The 21,030-nt window shown below is 35.1% G+C and overlaps 1 protein-coding gene across 82 annotated transcripts in view; it reads left to right on the plus strand.

Annotated features, from left to right (window-relative positions):
* Positions 1-21,030, plus strand: part of MEF2A (myocyte enhancer factor 2A) — a 151,072-nt gene that overhangs the window by 97,388 nt on the left and 32,654 nt on the right. For 36 of the 82 annotated variants that reach the window (NM_001400057.1, NM_001400064.1, NM_001400061.1 and 33 more), the window contains 3 exons: positions 8,519-8,650; positions 11,589-11,808; positions 12,595-12,654. The exons of 1 other annotated variant lie outside the window; for it this stretch is intronic. In NM_001400057.1, coding sequence (NP_001386986.1) covers positions 8,519-8,650; positions 11,589-11,808; positions 12,595-12,654 — 412 coding nt within the window. Of the gene's footprint in view, positions 1-8,518; positions 8,651-8,715; positions 8,866-11,588; positions 11,809-12,594; positions 12,655-15,843; positions 18,147-21,030 lie in introns of those variants that run through there. 45 more of the 82 variants (NM_001400049.1, NM_001352617.4, NM_001400039.1 and 42 more) reach the window with 6 other exon arrangements.

Below are 21,030 nucleotides of genomic sequence, written 5' to 3' on the forward strand. Positions count from 1 at the left end.
CACTTGCTTATACTTATGCTAGATTTACTGACTACTTAGCCGGTGTTTATGGAGCATGTACTGCTCAGCTGTGTCATAGCAATGAGATTTAAGGTGGGTGGTCAAATTTTTTGTGGGTTTATTTAATTGATTTAAATCAGTTAACTCCTCATGCATTTAAAAACCATGCATTTATACCTTTTGAGTAGTTTTAATTCCATAGTTTCACTTGTAAGTGCTATGATTCTATTAGCTTGGAATGGAATTTGGCAATAATAAAGTTGAGCGTATGTTAATTTTTTTTTTCAGTTCTTGGTAGGCAGGAGTTAAAAGTGCAGGCATGGGCTCTAGCAGATACTCCAGCAGTATAGGCTCTTCGATCCAAAATGTAGTGTCATATGTCAAGATTCCAGAAAATGCAAGTCCCTTGGGATATTTATAAGTTCTTATTTAAGAGCCCATATGCTTTAAATATTTATTAAACATATTTAGAAAGATAATCCTGATTTATTTACTCTGTAAACAGATGCCAAAGATTATAGTAATATGCATTTGTGCACGTATATATATGCACACATTATATACGGAAATGGACTGCACTTTTAACTCCTGACTACCAAGAACTGAAAACACTTTTAACATATGCTCAACTGTATAATTGTCAAATTCCATTCCAAACAAATAGAATCACATATATATATTTAAAATTTTAGACAAGCTTATTTTCCATGGAAGTTTTTATGTATATAAAACTTTTTATATTTTATGTATAAAAGTTTTATATTTAACTATTTTTTATATATGTATAACATTTCCATGGAAAATGTGGCTAAAATTTTAAATATAGAATTTCTTGCTGAGTATTTAACATGAAAGAGCATAAGCTAAAAGAAACGCATTTTAAATGAGTTGCCCTGCCTAATTAGTAATTCATTTTGAAATAAATTTTTGTAAGTTTATTATGTAAAAGAAAACCTCAACATACTTAAAAAAAAGTTTATACAGTATTGTTTTTGTCCTCTCAAGTATCTTTTTTCTTTCTTTTTTCACCTCTTCCCTTAATCCTTTCCATCTCTAGTTTCACCAAGAGGTTTAGTATATAAACCAGAAAATGAGAGGCAGATGTACAGGGTCAGCCAAGTGGTAACATATACCCAGAATTCTGTAAATGTTTCCTTGAATTTGAAAGGTAAGGTTGTCAGTACTCTATAAGTAGAATGATAGGACGTATGACTTTAAAGATTTTTGTTGGGGTAGATACCATTGTTTCAATCAGTTATCTTTGACCAACAACAGTAATTAATCATCACTTCTAGGTTTGAGACTCTTTCTGGATTCTATGTTGTAGAGGTACTAGCCAGACTTATTTTGAGAAATATGTGACTTGGGTAAAGAGACTAATAATGTGTTACCTAAAGGATCACTAACAGTTTTCTTCCTCATGCTTCTTTGATTATAAGGGATAGAAACCCATTTAAAGTAGCTCCAACTAAAGAAAGAATTTGTTGAAAGAATGCAGACAGATAGCACTCAAAGGCAAGAGGCAGGAGTAGCTGGCTTCCTGAAGGCCGGACACCAGGAACTTCATATTAAGGGCTCCATGGTCTCTCATCTCTGCCACCAAGGCTGGTTTGCAAAATAACTCTCCTTGCAAGCACAACTGATAATCTTCATGTAGAAATGAATTGATTTAAAACAGGTGAGAAATTCAAAATGATATTGAGGGGAACTGAATTGGTAACAATTTATGGAACAGATAGAATGGAGAGAGAGAAAAGTGGAAAAAAGATATAAGAGTCTAGACATAAGATAGTGCAGGCTTGAGTGAGTATGGGGACAGTAGAAATGGAAATAATATATAAAATTTGGTATTCCATGTGAATGTAGAGAGAGAACAAAGGGAATAAGGTCGACTAGGTTGGTAAGTCCCAAGGAGAGACCGGTTTAATAAAAGATAATGAATTCTATGGCAGTTAAGTTGAAATAGAAATGTTAGTAAAATATCCAAATGAAAGTGTGCAGCAGGCAGTTGGGATTATAAATCTTCCAAGTTGCAGATTAGATTTGGATGAAGGCATAAACATTACTATCATAAAATTATAAAATGAACATATTAGAGATTTTATTTGAGTCATTAATGAATGAGGGAACAGTAAGATCATAAACAGAGGAGAACTCAAAAATATAACACATTTATAGTTAAAGAATGCAGAAGTAAATTTATAAATAGAAACAAAAGTGGCCAGTATCCACAGGGTGACAATCAATGGTATTCCACAGGAAACAATTTCTGGAAACAAGAATTATTTGCAGCTACTACAAGTTTTCTATAAGTTAACTAATGTCCATCTCTGCAGTGTTGTAAAATAGCCTCATCAAAGAAACGGAAGTGGATGTAACTAACCTAAATGGAGGTTCTAGCCAGGGCACTCACTAAGTTTCAGGCTTTCATTGTTTTTCCTTAAATTGGTATGGAAATTTTAAACTCAAGAGCCTTCCTACTACTGGAGTGTTTGGTCAGCAGTAGATAGAAAGAAAAACAAGCAATGGGGAAAGGATTCCCTATTTAATAAATGGTGTTGGAAAAACGAGCCAGCCATATGCAGAAAGCTGAAACTGGATCCCTTCCTTACACCTTATACAAAAATTAAGATGGGTTAAAGATTTAAACGTAAGACCTAAAGCCATAAAAACTCTAGAAGAAAATCTAAGTAGTACCGTTCAGGACATAGGCATGGGCAAAGATTTCATGACTAAAACATCAAAAACAATGGCAACAAAAGCCAAAATAGATAAATAGGATCTGATTAAACTAAAGAGCTTCTGCACAGCAAAAGAAACTTTATCATCAGAATGAACAGGCAGCCTACAGAATGGGAGAAAATTTTTGCGATCTATCCATCTGACAAAGGGTTAATATCCGGAATCTACAAAGAACTTAAATTTACAAAAAAAAAAAAAAAAAAAAAAAAGCCATCAAAAAGTGGGTGAAGGATATGAACAGACACTGCTCAAAAGAAGACATTTATGCAGCCAACAAACATATGAAAAAAAGCTCATCATCACTGGTCATTAGAGAAATGCAAATCAAAACCATCATGAGATACCATCTCAAGCCAGTTAGAATGGTGATCATTAAAAAGTCAGGAAACAACAGGTGCTAGAGAGGATGTGGAGAAATGGGAACACTTTTATACTGCTGGTGGGAGTGTAAATTAGTTCAACCATGGTGGAAGACAGTGTGGTGATTCCTCAAGGATCTAGAACTAGAAATACCATTTGACCCAGTAATGCCATTACTGAATATATACCCAAAGGATTATAAATCATTCTACTGTAAAGACACGTGCACACATACGTTTACTGCGGCACTGTTCACAATAGCAAAGACTGGGAATCAACCCAAATGCCCATCAGTGATAGACTGGATAAAGAAAATGTGGCACATATACACCATGGAATACTATGCAGCCATAAAAAAAAGAATGAGTTCATGTCCTTTGCAAGGACATGGTTGACACTGGAAACCATCATTCTCAGCAAACTAACACAAAAACAGAAAACTAAACACCGCATGTTCTCACTCATAAGTGGGAGTTGAACAATGACAACACATGGACACGGAGCGGAACATCACACACTGGGGCTTGTCAGGGAGTGGGGGGCTAGTCTAGGGATAGTGGTAGAAGTACGTAATGTAGATGATGGGTTGATAGGTGCAGCAAGCCACCATGGCACATGTATACCTGTGTAACAAACCTGCACGTTCTGCACATGTATCCCAGAACTTAAAGTATAATAATAATAATAATAATAATAATAATAATAAAAAGATCAGCAAAGAAAAAAAAGGAAGGCTTTTAAAGTTCCTCTTCTTTTAGGTAAAACTGGTTTAATTAATGCTAGACAACAAAGCAAAACCTTCTAAGTTTGATTTGGGCATTTACAACACAGAAATAGTGTGGATATGATGTAGGGATTCCTTTTCCCTAGAAATATTTTTAGGCAGTATGCCCTCCTCTCTTCCTCCACCAGCTTGAATTTCATTTTAGATCTTAATAGCTTCCGACAGAAAGGAAGGTTGTGGGATTTGCTGTTTTAGACAGTTAACATTCTTAATGCTGCAATATAAATAACAATTTATGAATTACCACAAGAAGATTTTGAAGATGAGTATTGAAAGGCCACAGGCCCTGTCTTGTCATATTTCATCGATACTTGATATTATAACGAATACAGATTAATCAAATATTTTTAGAAAATTTTAAAGAACAGCATACTACTTCTTCCTTTTAAAAACCAATACTTGCTCCAATAATAAGTTCTATCGAGGGTTACTAGGAATCTCTTCCTGAGTTTAGATCTGAAATCAGTGAGTTGGGTGGTTTCACACTCGTAAGTGGTAAAATAGTTTTGTTTTTTGGTTTTTGGTTTTTATTTATTTATTTATTTATTTGAGACAGAGTCTTGCTCTGTCGCCCAGGCTGGAGTGCAGTGGCACGATCTCGCTCACTGCAAGCTCCGCCTCCCGGGTTTACGCCATTCTCCTGCCTCAGCCTCCCGAGTAGCTGGGACTACAGGTGCCCGCCACCACGCCCAGCTAACTTTGTTTTTGTATTTTTAGTAGAGACGGGGTTTCACCGTGTTAGCAGGATGGTCTCAATCTCCTGACCTCGTGATCCGCCCGCCTCGGCCTCCCAAAGTGCTGGGATTACAGGCGTCAGCCACCGCGCCCGGCCGTAACATAGTTTTTTATAAAGGTGATTATATCAAGTGAACATGAGTCAAAAATTTTAAGTAATTAATTAGTGAGGGAGCCTGAAAAAAATGTTGCCTTTGTAAATTCAAAGATCAGACAAATGTATAAGCCCACCAAGAAGGCCAAATGAATTTGCTTCATAAATACAAAAACTGGCTCTTCCACAGTTGAGAGAGGAAGTCAGTTGAACTTCCACCAGGCGGGATTTGTTTGCACATCTACAAACACAAATTATTTGCATTACTCTCACTTTTCTACACATTATCTTCTGTTTACAGAGTTGGAAAATAGCTCAGAAACCAAGGTACAAACCCCCTAGAATCAGATAACTTGGCATGTGCTCTAAACAATACAGAGTTTTAAGAGATATTTAGTTTTTTGGGTTTCATTTAAAAATATTTCAGTATCCTTACATAACTAGCGTTGAAAGGTAAATATTAGCTAAGTTTATTACTTAAATCCTGCGTTTTGTACCATAAATGACAATGTGCAGAAAGTACCTGAATTGGCCCAAGTCAAAAAAAAAACTGTTAAAATAATAATGGAATTTAACTTTGTTGTGACATAAATAGAAAAATGATTGTTTCTAACAAGTGCTTAACTGACCCTCCAAAAATAAAATTACTGTCTTCTATAGACGTGTACTGATGAAAAATATAGGTGTGTTAATTTTAGGATTTTATTTAAGTAATATTGCCAATTGGGACCTTTAAATTAGTTTGGAACATGTATAGAACAGGGTGTATCATCGGCTTAAATTGATTAATAATTACTCATTAATATTGATCTTTATAGCAGCCTGTAATGTATGTTGTAGAAGACATTTCTTTAAGAAAAGCAACTAGGATAAGTCAACTTAAATGGGTACACACCATTGAAATTTGAAATTATTTTGGCACAATTGAGTTTTCTCCTTAAGTTTGTTGGAATGGCATTGAAAAACTCAATCACGTTATTTACAAGGAGTAAAATATCTTTGAAGTTTTATTTACTTTAGAATGGATTATAATGACTAGTAATAGCTATAGAGAGTACTCAGTGCTAGCACTCTTGATGCATTTTTCTACTTTTTCTTTATGAGGAATAAGCAGATCTCTCATAGTGGTGACCTTTCACACTGTGTTTTCCTCATTGAGCAAGTGTCTTTATTGTGGCTAACTTGTGTGTGAGAAAACTGAAGCTGGCCAGGATCGTATGTACCTGGGCCTGGCCTTCTTAATAGATTACGGCATTCCACTTGATAATACCAGTGGCACAGGAGAAACTTCTACTGTTGTGCTATTTGGTAATGTGAAGACAGAAAAAGTCTTTTTATGGTAGTTGGGTCCTCAAAACAACTCTTCATGGTTTAGTGATAAGGAGACACAAGTTGCCTATCAAACAGAGGTACATTAGCTTATTATCTACAAAGCTGATAGAGCCTCTTAAATTCTCTCATGGTGACAGAAACCCCATCTGAAGTGAAGGCTTGCAGAGCTGGAGATACCAGAGCACTTTCCTTCCTCATAAATACAAGTAGAGTTAACCCTACTCTTGTAGAATAAAAATTGCATGTAATTGTTGAACAAAAGCTGCCTTCTTTTTTCTCTGGCAATTAAAATGTGGTCAAAGAGATATATACTTGGTGATTGCCATTTGTGAAAATTTCAGTGATAAGCATTACAGCTTACTAAGAAGAGCAAGACTAATTAACTAGTCTTAAAATAGATGAAAATTGAGGGGAAATATCAGAGATTTAGGACTAGAATAAGTCAACAACTTTATGATAAGATCTGTGTGTAGGCACCTACTATATTTGTTCTGTTTCTAGTGCTGTGTAGGTTTTAAGAGTTCAATGTGTTCCAGTGTTCTGAGTGTCTACATTTTCACTCCTCATAGCTACTTGGAAAGATTTGGCAAGTAAACTTGCTACCATGGTTGGGGGAGGATAAATGCCTTTATCCTTTAGTGCTCCCAACAACAGGACCTTTTATGGCCAAGCACACATAAAAGTCCATGTGATTACTTAGGCTCATAGAGCCTAGTGCCATGGAGAAAATGTTGGAGAAATAGATGTTGTGTTTGCTATATGCACATGCCAAGTAATTTAATAAGCTAACGTATCTGTACTAATGATTGTTTATGATTCTTCATGAAAAATTTTTAAAAATCACATTGAATAAAGTGAATTTTAAAAATAATTTGACTTTGGAGAATCAAAAAAATTCTTGAATCTTAATGTACTGTGCTTATGTTCTACTTCATTCAAGAAAAAAGGAGTAAAATAAACATCCATAATTATTGCTAATCATATTTTAAAGGATACTAAGATCTGCTATGAAATAATCAAAAATATCTTTAGATCTAATTTAATCGTTTATTGATGAACTTCTCTGGGACTAGTTCAGTGATCAAGCTTTGTTTCCTAACTAAGCTCTGTTAGTTAGGCTTACTTAGAAATTTTAACTTCCTAATCCTTCTCTGCAGTTGGTCAGAAAATCAAGAAGTCTCAGCCATTTCAGTGTTGAACCCTGTAACTCTACTTTAAAATACGACCCACTAGGATTTTTTAAAAAAGAAGAAAGAAAGAAATAAGACATTCTGAAAGTAAAGGAATATTCCATATATCTTCAAGCTCTTGGTTTTTAATTTATCCTTTTAAGTACTGGACAAGTTATTTCATGATGAATTTAAGTTAAAAATAAAAATCAGAAAACCAACTGTTTTTTGCATTATACTAAGAAAAAAAAAGTCAGTATAATCCAGGAGATATTTTAATGGCACTCAAGAATATTCTCCAGAAAGGGCTGGGCACAGTGGCTCACGCCTGTAATCCCAGCACTTTGGGAGGCTGAGGTGGGTGGATCACGAGGTCAGGAGATCCAGACCATCCTGGCTAACATGGTGAAACCCCATCTCTACTAAAAATACAAAAAAAATTAGCCGGGCGTGGTGGCGGGCGCTTGTAGTCCCAGCTACTCGGGAGGCTGAGGCAGGAGAATGGCATGAACCCAGGAGGCGGAGCTTGCAGTGAGCCAACATCGTGCCACTGCACTCCATCCTGGGCGACAGAACGAGACTCCGTCTCAAAAAAGAAAAAAAAAAAGAAAAGACAGTTCTCCAGAAAGTCAAATCAGTGGATTAAATCAAACCATGAAATACACTCTGAATAACTTTTGAGTGCAAATTTTAAAAATATGTAAAGTCACTGATAATTTGTACATTCTACATAGGAGTCATTGCAGACATAAATAATTATCAAGTTTGTTGTATTTCAAAGTTATACAGGAAAGTGAATAATAGGAATGAAATTATTGGGATATTGTGCTGATTCTTTCTGTTGAGTAGGATAAAAACTCCGATAGGCAGAAAGGAAGAATACGTGAAGTTGCTGAAATGTTCAATTTATAAAGGTACGATAACTTCTCAAAGCATCATTTTTATAGATTTCTATCTTAGTTCTTTCATGCATTGGTTATATCATATAAATTGATCAGGCTTTAATCAGATTTGAGTTTTAACTGTGAGAGCAGTGAGTCATTTAGTATTTTGAGAAGTTTAGAAAGGAAGAATCCAAACAAATATTCCTTTTCTCTTAACATACAATGGGAGAATTAATTTTACTTATATTTAATGTTTATCTTATTTGAAGAAGTAAGTACATTTGTGATCATTTAGAAACCGTTTCAGTGGCTCTTGTATAATTCAGTTCATTCCGTCTGTGCTCTCTTAATAAATTTTACAGAAAAACTCATGGCAAGTTAGCATTATTTGTGTGTGAATTTTCCAATTGTATTTCAGACTTTAAGAAAGAAAGGCCTTAATGGTTGTGAGAGCCCTGATGCTGACGATTACTTTGAGCACAGTCCACTCTCGGAGGACAGATTCAGCAAACTAAATGAAGATAGTGATTTTATTTTCAAACGAGGCCCTGTAAGTACTTTTACTTTACCTCTACTTTTTATTTGTTGATCCTTTTTGTTAACTTCATTATTTAGGCTCTGAACAAGAAGGAACACAGAGGGTGCGACAGCCCAGACCCTGATACTTCATATGTGCTAACTCCACATACAGAAGAAAAATATAAAAAAATTAATGAGGAATTTGATAATATGATGCGGAATCATAAAATCGCAGTGAGTACTAAAGTATGGTTTGTGCTTTTATCTTGTGCATGAAGAGATTGACCAAACATCTTGTTGCTTATTTTTATAGTGGGTGATGACAACAATAAGTAGAAGGGAAGAAATGCATTTTATTAGTATTTTTTATAAAACTTCAAAATAAAATTGCTGAAATCTTATACATGTTCAGTATCTTAAATGTAGAAGTGAAGAGAAAACATGCCGATCCAGACTTTGCTACTTCTTACCCCAATACCTTTGGATAGGGCACCTAAACATTTTGAATTCTTTCTCCATCTATAGTGAGTTGGCTCTCATGATTTTTAAGGTATCTTCCAGCTCTAAAATTCTATGATTTATAGTATAGAGTATGTATAAAACTTTCCCTCTACTCCCATGACTTAAAAACATATGTGTTCTTAAATAGATCTTGAGAAAGCAAAATGTAAGGTAGTTAGGTTTGTTGCGAAACTTGTTTTTTTCCTAAATTATCTTCAATTATTTTGTATAGTTGCTATAATAGCAGAGCTAAGCTTACTGCTTTGCAGTTTGTAAATGTCCCCAAATCACTTAGCAACAATACCACCAGACTTTTGTTCTTTTCTTATGCTGTAGATACTAAGGAAGAGCAGCTTGGCTTAATTTTAATTTAGGGCAACAATGTTCTTAAACTGATTGCAAAACAAATAGTGACTTTACAGTTTCTGTATACTCATTCATCTAACCATAGTGAAAGAGTATTTTTCTTTGAGCTCATGCTCCTAGACTTGATAGTTTTTCAAAGAATTCTCACTGGAAGCTCCATTGGCAAGAGCTACTTAAAACAGTTATTCTGGATCTGATTTCCTAATTCTGTATATGTAGGTCAGCCGCCCTTGAACAAATTAGTTTCAATGCTGATATTTATTTTAGCATCAGAGTTAATTCTTTCAAAACTGTGCCCTAAAGTATGCATGATGGATCATTTCTTCAGAGTAGTCCTGTATTACAGGTTGGGTATTCCTTATTGGAAATGCTTGGGACTAGAAAGTGTTTCAGATTTGGGATTTTTTTCAAAATTTGGAATATTTGCATATGTATAGTATCTTGGGGATGGGACCCAAGTCTAAACATTAAATTTATTAATGTTTCATACATACCTTACATACTCATGGACTGAAGGAAGTTTTATACAATATTTTTCATAATTTTGTACATGAAACAAGGTTTGTGTACATGGAACCATCAGAAAGCAAAGATGTCTCTGTCTCAGCTACCCATGTCATAGGTCTTGGCTCCATGTGGAGCATCATTGGGAACCTGCTGTTAGCATGTGTAGCCTACACACGTGCCATTTTATTACCCTTTGTGGATGTGCTTGTGTGAGGGAATCTGGGTGTGCACAGAAAAGATATATTGAAGCTGATGGCAGACTGGAACGGTCCTTTTCCCCTTGGAGACACTGAATAAACTGTGTATTGTATGCCTGCATTTCCACATGTCAGGTTTGGAATTCTCTATGGCATCATGTTGGTGCTCAGAAAGTTTTGGATTTTGGATTTTCAGATTAGGGATGCTCAACCTGTATAAGAAGCCAGCTCACAAAAAAATAGCCTTAAGGAGTTACTTTTGGGCAAATACCATTATTATTCTTAAAAACAATACAGTAGCAAATAAAGGGATGTTGCTGACCTTGCAGTTAATGTTAAAGCTGCAAAGATATCGCACAAATAAAAGTGTTTTACTTTTGAAAAAAATTGTCATATACCCACTGTTTTTATATTTGTTGATGTATAATTTTTCTACATGAAATAAACTACTATTGAATAAAGTACAATAAAATATATTCTTCCAACTTTGAATTAGCAGTGTTACCTTATTTTTGTATGTTAGTCTTTTAAAATGAGGGCAGAGTAAAGTTGTTTTATTTTCTCCCACTTTAAATTGTAAAGAGCAACATATATTTATCGTGGTTAACAAGCATATTGTAAATGGTGTGTGGAGGAAATGCAAGATGAAAATAGAAAATAGAAAAAAGGGGATATGGAATAATTTGGAGGGAGGGAAGGTTAGCATTTATAATATTTGTAATTTAATCTTTATACAATTTAAAGAAGATACCAAAAACTTTATTACTTTTATTACTGGCTTGGTTAGTAGTTAATTTTGTTGTTTAGATTAGATTTCTTTGCATTTTCATTAAACTCAAATTGCATTGTTATGTATATAATTACTTTTTTTTTTTCTTAGTTTTGCCCTTTAGAAAGTTAGTCAATTAAATCAGAATGGGGAATATTTATGATTTATCAGATTTGACATATTAAGTTAATAATATGTGTACACACTTTTCTCCTTCCGTTATATTTGGGATCTCTCAGTAGAAATGTAATGTTATTAAGGTTTACATTGAAGTGCCAATTTATGCTTACTTGGTGACAGTGATATATTTTGTAATGTCTAAATATGACAACACTACTTGATTATCAGGTTTATCCTCTTAAATTTGTCTTTATGAATATTTGAAATATAGAATATAGACATTAGTATATATTAATGTATAAAGTTGAAATTGAAAAGGCTCATGTCAGTCATATTCATGTTCAAACATAATTCTAAAGAAAATAGCTTTAATCTGTAAATTGGTTAAGAACCTATCCCTATCCTCTACTTTTAGTAACTTGAGTTACCTTGCCAAATTAAAGTTCAAAAGTTACTTTGTAGATGAATACGAAACCAACAGTTTTTTCCTTCTTTTTCTTTATTTACAGCCTGGTCTGCCACCTCAGAACTTTTCAATGTCTGTCACAGTTCCAGTGACCAGCCCCAATGCTTTGTCCTACACTAACCCAGGGAGTTCACTGGTGTCCCCATCTTTGGCAGCCAGCTCAACGTTAACAGATTCAAGCATGCTCTCTCCACCTCAAACCACATTACATAGAAATGTGTCTCCTGGAGCTCCTCAGAGACCACCAAGTACTGGCAATGCAGGTATGTAGTGATACCTATTATGCTGGTTCTTTAATAAAGAGGGTGAAAAAATTCATTGCTAACATAAGCAGTTTCTTATTTTGCTATTCTTTTATTGCTTTGATGAGCAAGAATCACTGATACATAATTGGCCTCATTTTAAAGTATTTTTTTGAAAATCAATTGTGGGTGTAGCATTGTGTCATGCAAAGTAGAACAGTACTGAGAACCTGCCATTTATATGCTTTCCTTCTCATGGGAAAGCCATACTTTGACAGGCAGAAAATTTAGTTAGATATCAGAAGCAAGGATTTAAAGTAGAGTGTGAGCCATTCATGTTAGAAATATGGGTGATAGACTACCTGATTGGAGTTAGAGTATCTTTTACATCTCCTCCTGCCTGAATTACTTCATTAATTCAGCAAAATTTATGTTACATTTATTGTATTAGTCTATGAAATGCAGTGTCTCCTCTCTCTTAAGTCCTAGATTTAATTTAGTGATTTAATCATACTCCTTACACACTGCCCCCGTTTTTATCAGTATGTACTATTTTGGTATTGATGCAATACCACTATTTGGTATTGAAGGCGACATCAAGCTTGAAAGGTAAACTCATATATATGAGATATAATAACTACATCAGATTACATGTTAATGCCAACTTCAGACTGAGCTAGTTTTTATTTTTGTGTCTTTTTAGGATTAGAGTGAGAGTTATCTCTATTCAGTTCACGTTCAGTTAGGTAAAGAGAGCTAATTCATATTCATTCTCTGCCCTCTGTCTTCTCTCCGTAACGTTGTTAGGTGGGATGTTGAGCACTACAGACCTCACAGTGCCAAATGGAGCTGGAAGCAGTCCAGTGGGTGAGTGAATTCCTACTCTTCTGTTTTGTAGGTATCTATCCTATATGAGATCAAAGGAATGTTGTTCCTGAAATAAAGCTTTCTGGGAAATTTCCTTCTGAAGGGTACTTTCACTAATACATCAAGATAATTTCTTAAGGGGAGACTTTCTCTAACTTCCCTGCTTACCAAAGTTAGACTGTTACCAAACTACTCTATCTTACAACAGCATGAAATGTTTTCAGAGAGACTAGAATGAAAAGAAATGGTGGGTCTATCTACTTCTACAGATAGAAAGATAATTAACATATTTGTCTTGGCCGGGCGTCGTGGCTCACACCTGTAATCCCAGCACTTTGGGAGGACGAGGTGGGCAGATTGCCTGAGCTGAAGAGTTTGTGACCAGCCTGGGCAACACTGTGAAACCCTGTCTCTACTAAAATACAAAAAAATTTAGCTGGGCGTGGCAGTGTGCACCTGTAGTCCCAGCTATTCGGGAGGCCGAGGGAGGAGAATTGCTTGAATCCGGGAGGCGGTGGTTGCAGTGAGCTGAGATCGCATCACTGCACTCCAGCCTGGGCGATAGAGTGAGACTCCTTCTCAAAAAAAAAAAAATTATGGAGATGATTGAATGACTTAATAAAAATGATGAGGAAGAAATAAACAAACATCAATAAAGATATTATTAAGACAAGTTACAAAATATTTAATGACAAAGTAGGAATAAATGCCTAATTATATCTGCCACAGTATTAAATATTTTAATGGAATTAAACAGATAAGACCTATTGTGGAGTCTTACTTAACAGAAAACAATTAAATGTGGGAAAATACATAAAGGTTGTACCAGTTAAACACTAGGGCTGCTACTCTTGTATGTGTATTTCCAAATATTTATGGTTTTTTTTCAGCTCTTGTTTTAGTTGTTTGTATGCCTACATACTGTTTTTGTGTCCCTTTTTTTTTTTATTCCCCCAACAGAATAATAAGTTCAGGGCCCACCAAGAATTGTGAGAGCCTAATATGCTTCTCTCACATTGGGTTGACACCCCAAAAGGCTGGACTCTAGAAGTAAAGTAAACCAGAGATAAACAGTTCTTCTCAGTAGTGACATCTTACAGATGCATCATACAGTTTTGTTTTTTTTTTTTTGAGACGGAGTCTCGCTCTTGTCGCCCAGGCTGGAGTGCAGTGGCGCCATCTCCGCTCACTGCAAACTTCACCTCCCGGGTTCACGCCATTCTGCCTCAGCCTCCCGAGTAGCTGGGACTACAGGTGCCCGCCACCACGCCGGGCTAATTTTTTTGTATTTTTAGTAGAGACGGAGTTTCACCGTGTTAGCCAGGATGGTCTCAATCTCCCGACCTGGTGATCTGCCTGCCTTGACCTCCCAAAAGTTTGTTAAAATTAGATCGTAGTGATTAGAAATTAGATTTAGGGGTTCCAGAATGCCCGGAAAAGCAAATAGTCTCTGGAAGAATAAAATAAGCCTGGCCCACATGGCAAAACCCCATCTCTACTAAAAATACAAAAATTAGCCGGACGTGGTGGCAAGTGCCTGTAATCCCAGCTACTCAGGAGGCTGAGGCAGGAGCATCACTTGATCCCAGGAGGCGGAGGTTGCAGTGAGCCGAGATCATGCCACTGCACTCCAGCCTGTGCGACAAGAGCAAAACGCTGTCTCAAAAATAAATAAATAAATAAATAAATAAAATAAAACACCATCTCAGACCTTATTATTTCTAACTTGGCACATAAGCTGAACTAGGCACACACACAAATAAAGCAAATGAAAACTTGCAGAAATAAACAAACAATGGAATCAGCCTCCTGGGAACTCCAGAATTTGGAGTTACTAGGCACAGACTTTGACTTTAATATAACAGTGTTTACTGTGTTCAAGGGTATTTAAAAAACAAAAAGATTGAGAATTTTAGCAGAGAACTGAAATTTATTTAAAAAATGGAAATTTTAGAACAAAAAAACCCCGTAATGTTAAGAACTTAACAGATGGGCTTAAAAACAGATTGGACAAAGCAAATACAAGAATTAAGAAACTAAAAGATAAGATAGAAGAAAATTATCCAGAATTTTGGAGACACAAAGGGATGGAAAATTAAAAAGAAGACCCAGAGCATGCAATAAAAAGGACTAGCATACGTTAAATTGAAGTCCCAGGAAGCAAAGTCAGAGAAAATTGGGCAGAAGCAGTATTTGAAGAGATAATCACTGAGAATTTTCCAAAACTAACAACAACAAAAAAGCCACAAATTGGGAAGGCCTATAAAACTCAACGTGGAATACAGATAATGCTGTGCTTTATGAGAAATTTAAACCTTTATGAACAAAAGACTGGAGATGGTGAGCTAAACCTCCTTCTCAGGAAGTCAGAAAAGGACAGCAAATTAAACATAAAGTAGGTAGAACCAAATAACAAAGATACAAGCATTGAAATAGAAAATAGAAAATTTTCTATTTCAGGCATGGTGAAACAGATGATCTCATACGTGCTTTTGTGGTATTGTAAATCAGTAACAATCTTTCTGGAAAGGTTTTGGCAAGATGTTTCAGTGGTCATAAAAATACAAGTATTGATACTGAAATAGAAAAACAAATTGAATTAACAAAACAAATACTGATTATTTAAAAGACTAATAAAATGGAATGTTTTCACTAATATTCAATTCGAAATATTTTCTAATTTCCATTATATCTTTTTCTTTAACCCAACTTGTAAGTTATTTAGAATTATATTTCTTAATTTCAAATACATGGAGATTTTCCAGTTATCTTTGAGATATTATTTTCTAGCCAGATTGTTTTGTTACCAGAGAACTTACCTCTATATGATTAAGTTCTCTGAAATTTGCTGATACTTTTTTATAGGCCAGCATGTGCTCAATTTTTGTCTGTGTTGTGTACTGGAAAGGAATGTTTATTCTGTATTATAAGCATGGATTGCAAATTCTACTTGTTTTAAATACGTTTTATCTGTATATATGTCATAACTTACTGTATCAGCTCCAGTTTAGAAACTCGTGATAGGTCAGTTCCAGATAGTTTTGCGTTACCTTTAAACCATATCATTTTTACCAATATTGTCATTTTCAAATACGTAATTTGTTTATAGGCGAGTCTTCCATTTGCCTTGTTCGTATTTTAATTTTTGTTGCATCTTCTGCCTGCTTCCCTAAAATTGGAATACTTCAGGCCCATGTACTGCTAAAAGAAGAGGCATCCTTGAGACTTTTAAAGCACTGAACGAACTCAGGAAAGGCAAAGACTTCTTAAATAAGAAACCAAAGAAAGTCTAATGGAAAGACTGATTGATTTGCTTGTGTGAAAATTGGAAACTTTGTGAATCAAAAGCACTGTAAAGAGAGTAAAAAGGCAAGACAGAATGGGAGAATATATATAGTATGTATACAATCAATAGAGAGGTTTTTTTTTAAGAATACCTACAAATCAGTAAGAAAAAGAAAACTCGACTTTTGAAAATGTGCATGAGAACACATCACTTCACAAAAGAAATGTCTGATAAATGTGAAGAAATGCTCAGTCTCAGTAGTCATGGAAATGCAAAATTAAACCACAAAGAGAGAACACTGCACACCCACCAGAATTGCTAAGATGAAATAGATGGTATACCAAATATTGACAAAGCTATGAAAAAGCACAAACTCATACACTGGTAATGGGAGTACAAGTTGTTGCAACCATTTGGCATTATCTGCCTAAGCTGCAGATACGTGTATTGTGTGACCCAGCATTTTCACTCATCCTTATGTACTGTAGAGAAATGCATTTGTGCATCACGAGTACCAAGAGATATGTAAAAGAATGTGTACAACATTATGTTAAAGTCATTGTCTAGAAATAGTACAGATCTCTGTCAACAGTAGAATGGATAAATATAAGAGTACATTCATATGAAAGAATATTATACTGCAGTGAAAATGAAATCACAGCAGTTCTCAACATGGATGAATGTCACCAAACATTATGAATTAAAGAAGATAGATACATACTCAAGATTCTAACTATATAAAGTTTGAAAAGCAGGCCAAAAAAACTATAGTGTTTGGGATGCTTGTGTAGATAGATGGCAGAGCCATAAAGAAAAACCAAGAAATTACTGTAAAATTCACAATAGTGGTTACTTTGGGTAGGTGGGACTCTCGGAATATTTTAGGGGGCCCAATTATGGAAACTTCTGGGGTTCTGGCAGTATTCTTAATCTGAATGGTGGTTACGTGGATCTTCACTTTATGATAAATCCTTAACCTATACGTTTTTGTTTTGTACATTTTCTGTTTATGTGTTACATTAGCAAGAAAACAGTTTTGAAAATAAAAGAATACACTAGATATAATAATAAAGGAACTATAACAACAAATATAAAGGCACTTTTTAAATTATAAGAGAAAATAATGTACATTTTGTGGTATTTATACTATTCCAAAATTCAGAGAGAAAATGTATAGACACTCAACACTCACATTCATGCACAAACTAGAGGTAGCCTTTGAGTCTTTGGACATTGTTGTCTGCATGTGGCAGCTGGAACTCAGCACCCATCTTAAGATCATGAGACAAGTCAGTTTAAGATGACAGGTCAAAATGCCAAGGTTGATGAAGTGAAAAGCTGGTGGCCCTCAGTGTTGAGCTGCTGAAGCAGCTGAGTCTGGGACCACTCTTCCCCTAGTCTTTTTATGTGAGATAATACGTGTTGCTCATTCTCCAGAGGAAAAAAGCAAGATAAAATCCAAGCAACAGATAGGGGAATGTTTAGTAATGGGCATTTAATTGTACCAAAATACACAATTCAAAAAAGAAACCTAACTAGTATTTTAAAAACTGAAAAGGTTGTTCATCATTGGTAGTATTCATGAAATTCAAATTAAAATGACAAAAAAAAATACTACTCTTACTTACTAATTCCCAACTATTAGCACTTTTTATTGTGATATTCAGTGCTAATGAAGGCATGGTGAAACTGATGATCTCATGCATGCTTTTGTGGCATTGTAAATTAGTAACAATCTTTCTGGAAAGGTTTTGGCAAGAGGTTTTAGTTGTCATAAAAATGTTTATACCTCCAAGCCCACTAATCCCATTTTTGGGAATCTCTCCTGAAGAGGTAAGTTAGAATAAGCAAAGCTTCATTGCAACTTTATTTGTAGTAATGAATAATAGGAAGAAATCAACATATTCAACAATATGAAAATGAAGTAAATGAAATTTCAACTGAATTTCTTTTTAGTTGTGATTTAAAACGAGCAAAAAATATGAGCATGGAAAACAAAAAGGGAAAAATCCAAAGAGATTATAATACTTAAGATGGTGGGACTGTGTTTTTCACTCTTTTTCTAGTTTCAGTGATGCTGTATTAATACAGTTACCTCTACAGTCATAACATCTTTATTGTAGTAAATTAGAATATTTCTTTATTTATTACTTATAACTTGTTTTCCATTGTCATCTGTGCAAATAAAACTTGGCAGCTTTGTACATATTGTAATTTGTATAGATCTTTCATAGAGGTAATTTGCTTATTTGTTTATGATTTACTAGGTATATTTCTCTATGGGGAGTTTAATACTGGGTTTATACTATAGTTCAAATGACTTTGGGGACTTTTTACTTTGGGCACACTTTAAAATATCAAGCATAAAATAAAGTCAGATATCCAACAACTTCACTTTTTAAAAACACGTTGAGAAAGAGAAAAAACATATATGGTACTAGACATAGAAAGGCTCAAGATGCTCTTGGAATTATTTGGGGTTAAATGAAGGTAAAATAAGGGTTTGCATTGTAGCAGGCACATTGGCAGTTAAAAAGAAGAGATGGAAGAGGTGAAAGATATCATGAAGAAAGCTTGATTGCTCTGAAGGTGGGGATGGGATGGCGGAGGACAGCAGTAGTTGAAGTCTTTAGAACAAGCTGAGTTGAGATGACAGCAGCATGTCTGGGTGAAAGTGGCCACCAGATTATTGAATATGTACTGGAAATTAGGAAAGATAAAGCAGAAACCCAGTTTTCAGTCATTCACATGGAGGTGATAGTTGAAGTTGTATATGCTTCAGCATTCATGCTTCATGAAGATGCTGAAGTTTCTGAAAGAGAAGAAGATATGTTGCCTTTTGGGGGCTGCCCACATGGGATAGAGATGGGGAATACAGTATTCAGAAAGAAAAGAAGCAGACCCCATGAGCATTGCCTATTTTTGTTATAAATTTTTATTGGACAGGATCCATGTTGTCCATCTTACAAGACATTTCATTGAATCAAGTACACATGCATTCAATTATTTCAAAACCTGTGATCTTTATTATTTTATTTTATTTTAGACTAGTCAGGTGCAGTAGTGAGAAGGGGGTAAAGAGTAGAACAAGGAGTTGGATAAGTTGAGATAACTCACTGCCTTCGAACCAGCCCTGTAATCTTTTCTACTTTCAGAAACCTCAAACAGTTCTTTGTACAAATGACATAATTTTATAACTGTTAGAATGTATTTTTGTTTATTGAATAATCAGCTGAATGTCAAATTTTATGAAAATTTTGCCAAATATGATTGAACTTTGCTTTGGATGAGTTTTTCAGAATCCTTTGAAGTTTGCACATCAGTTGGACTTCTGAAATGAATTCATAGTGAAATATTAGTGACATCATTGTCTGCAGTTTAACCCTAGAAGAGTAGTATCTAAGGACACAGAGTACTTGCCAGCTACTTGAATGCATTATTTCAGCTGATGTGATTTATATTTTGAAATATGAGCCAGACTGATGGAATTGACTGACCTATCTTACAGCTATAGGACTGTAATTGAGATCAAGTTCTGTTAAGTTTCTGAAGGCATGGGTATGCGGTTTGCTCAAGAGCATTTTTTCACATTTGTGTTAGGATAGTAAATTACCTTGAAAACTGGAAACACATTTTAACAACATTAAATTGGATTTATTCATTTAGTGTAGATACTGTAGTTCCTAGGTTTGTAAACTGTGGCAAGATGAGTTATATACTGAAAGTATTTACCTCAAAAGTCTATCTGAAAAATATCTTCATTTTTGTAATAAAAATTGAGCTGGAGGTAAGAAGGTACATATTAGGGTATATATCACTGCACTCTACAAAATAACAAGTCGTGCATAGGAGATTCTCTTAGCTTCAGCCTGGCAAGTTACCAAACACTTACATCATCCTTTAATCATCATCTGCTACTGACTCCTGACTTTACATCAAGAAATACTGTGCTTTTAAGTCCCCTCTTACTCTTGAAATTTGGTTCTCATGAGTTACCATCATGTCATATCTATCTAAAGCACCATAGACTGCACATGGGAAAATAGTATTTGTGCTTCTTGATGATGTGTGGCTCTGAATTATATATTTTTGTCTTTGAGAGGAAATTCTACTTTCTTCTTCAGATTTGAGTATAAATCAAGTAAAGAAGAATCTTCTAAATAATATCAGAATCAGAACACATATTCATGCCATTGTATATTTAAAAAATTATTAATCTGACATTCTCATACTGTTAACGCAAAATGAAGTTTCTATTTAACCTTCCTATTTTTGAATAAAATTATTTAATAAACATTTTTAATTCTTCAACTGTCTGGCTTAGCGGTTACCTCTGTCCAAGTCATATATGATCTCTACTCGACAGGATGGCCTGGTGAAGTGGTTGTTTTTTAAACTGCACTGCTTTCTGAAGCTTAACAGGATGCAGGAAATTACTCTATGGGGTGTGGAAAGGATTTAATTCATACCCCTTCAAGATAATGAAAGCAGAATGCAGGAAATAACCTCATGAGGTTAACTGAAATACCAGTCCCCACAGCAAAATTAGATCATACATATGAATTAAAACTGAGTGGGTCACTTGGTAAACGTTTTGGAGGAAACAAGAGGAATTGGGTGAGGGTAAGGAAGAAAAAACCACACTAATCATCTGGAACTCAGAAATTCTTTTGTTTGTTTGAGACAGGATCTCACTCTGTTGCCCAGGCTGGACTACAGTGGCACGATCTCGGCTCACTGCAGCCTCCACCTCTGCGGCTCAGGCAATTCTTCTGCGTCAGCCTCCCTAGTAGCCAGGATTACAGACATGCACCACCATGCCCTGCTAATTTAGCATTTTTTTTTAGTGGGGTTTCGCCATGTTGGCCAGGCTGGTCTCCAACTCCTGACCTCAGGTGATCTACCCATCTCGGCCTCCCAAAGTGCTGGGATTATACTTGCGAGCCACCATGCCTGGGCCTTTTATTAAAAAAAAAAAAAAAAAAAATTATTTCAATAGTTTTGGGGGAACAAGTGGTGTTTTGTTGCATGGAAAAATTCTTTAGTGGTGATTTTGGAGTTCACCAGAGCAGTGTACCCTGTACCCAATA

This window comes from Homo sapiens, chromosome 15 (genome assembly GCF_000001405.40).
Source record: "Homo sapiens chromosome 15, GRCh38.p14 Primary Assembly".
NCBI classification, from domain to species: domain Eukaryota; kingdom Metazoa; phylum Chordata; class Mammalia; order Primates; family Hominidae; genus Homo; species Homo sapiens.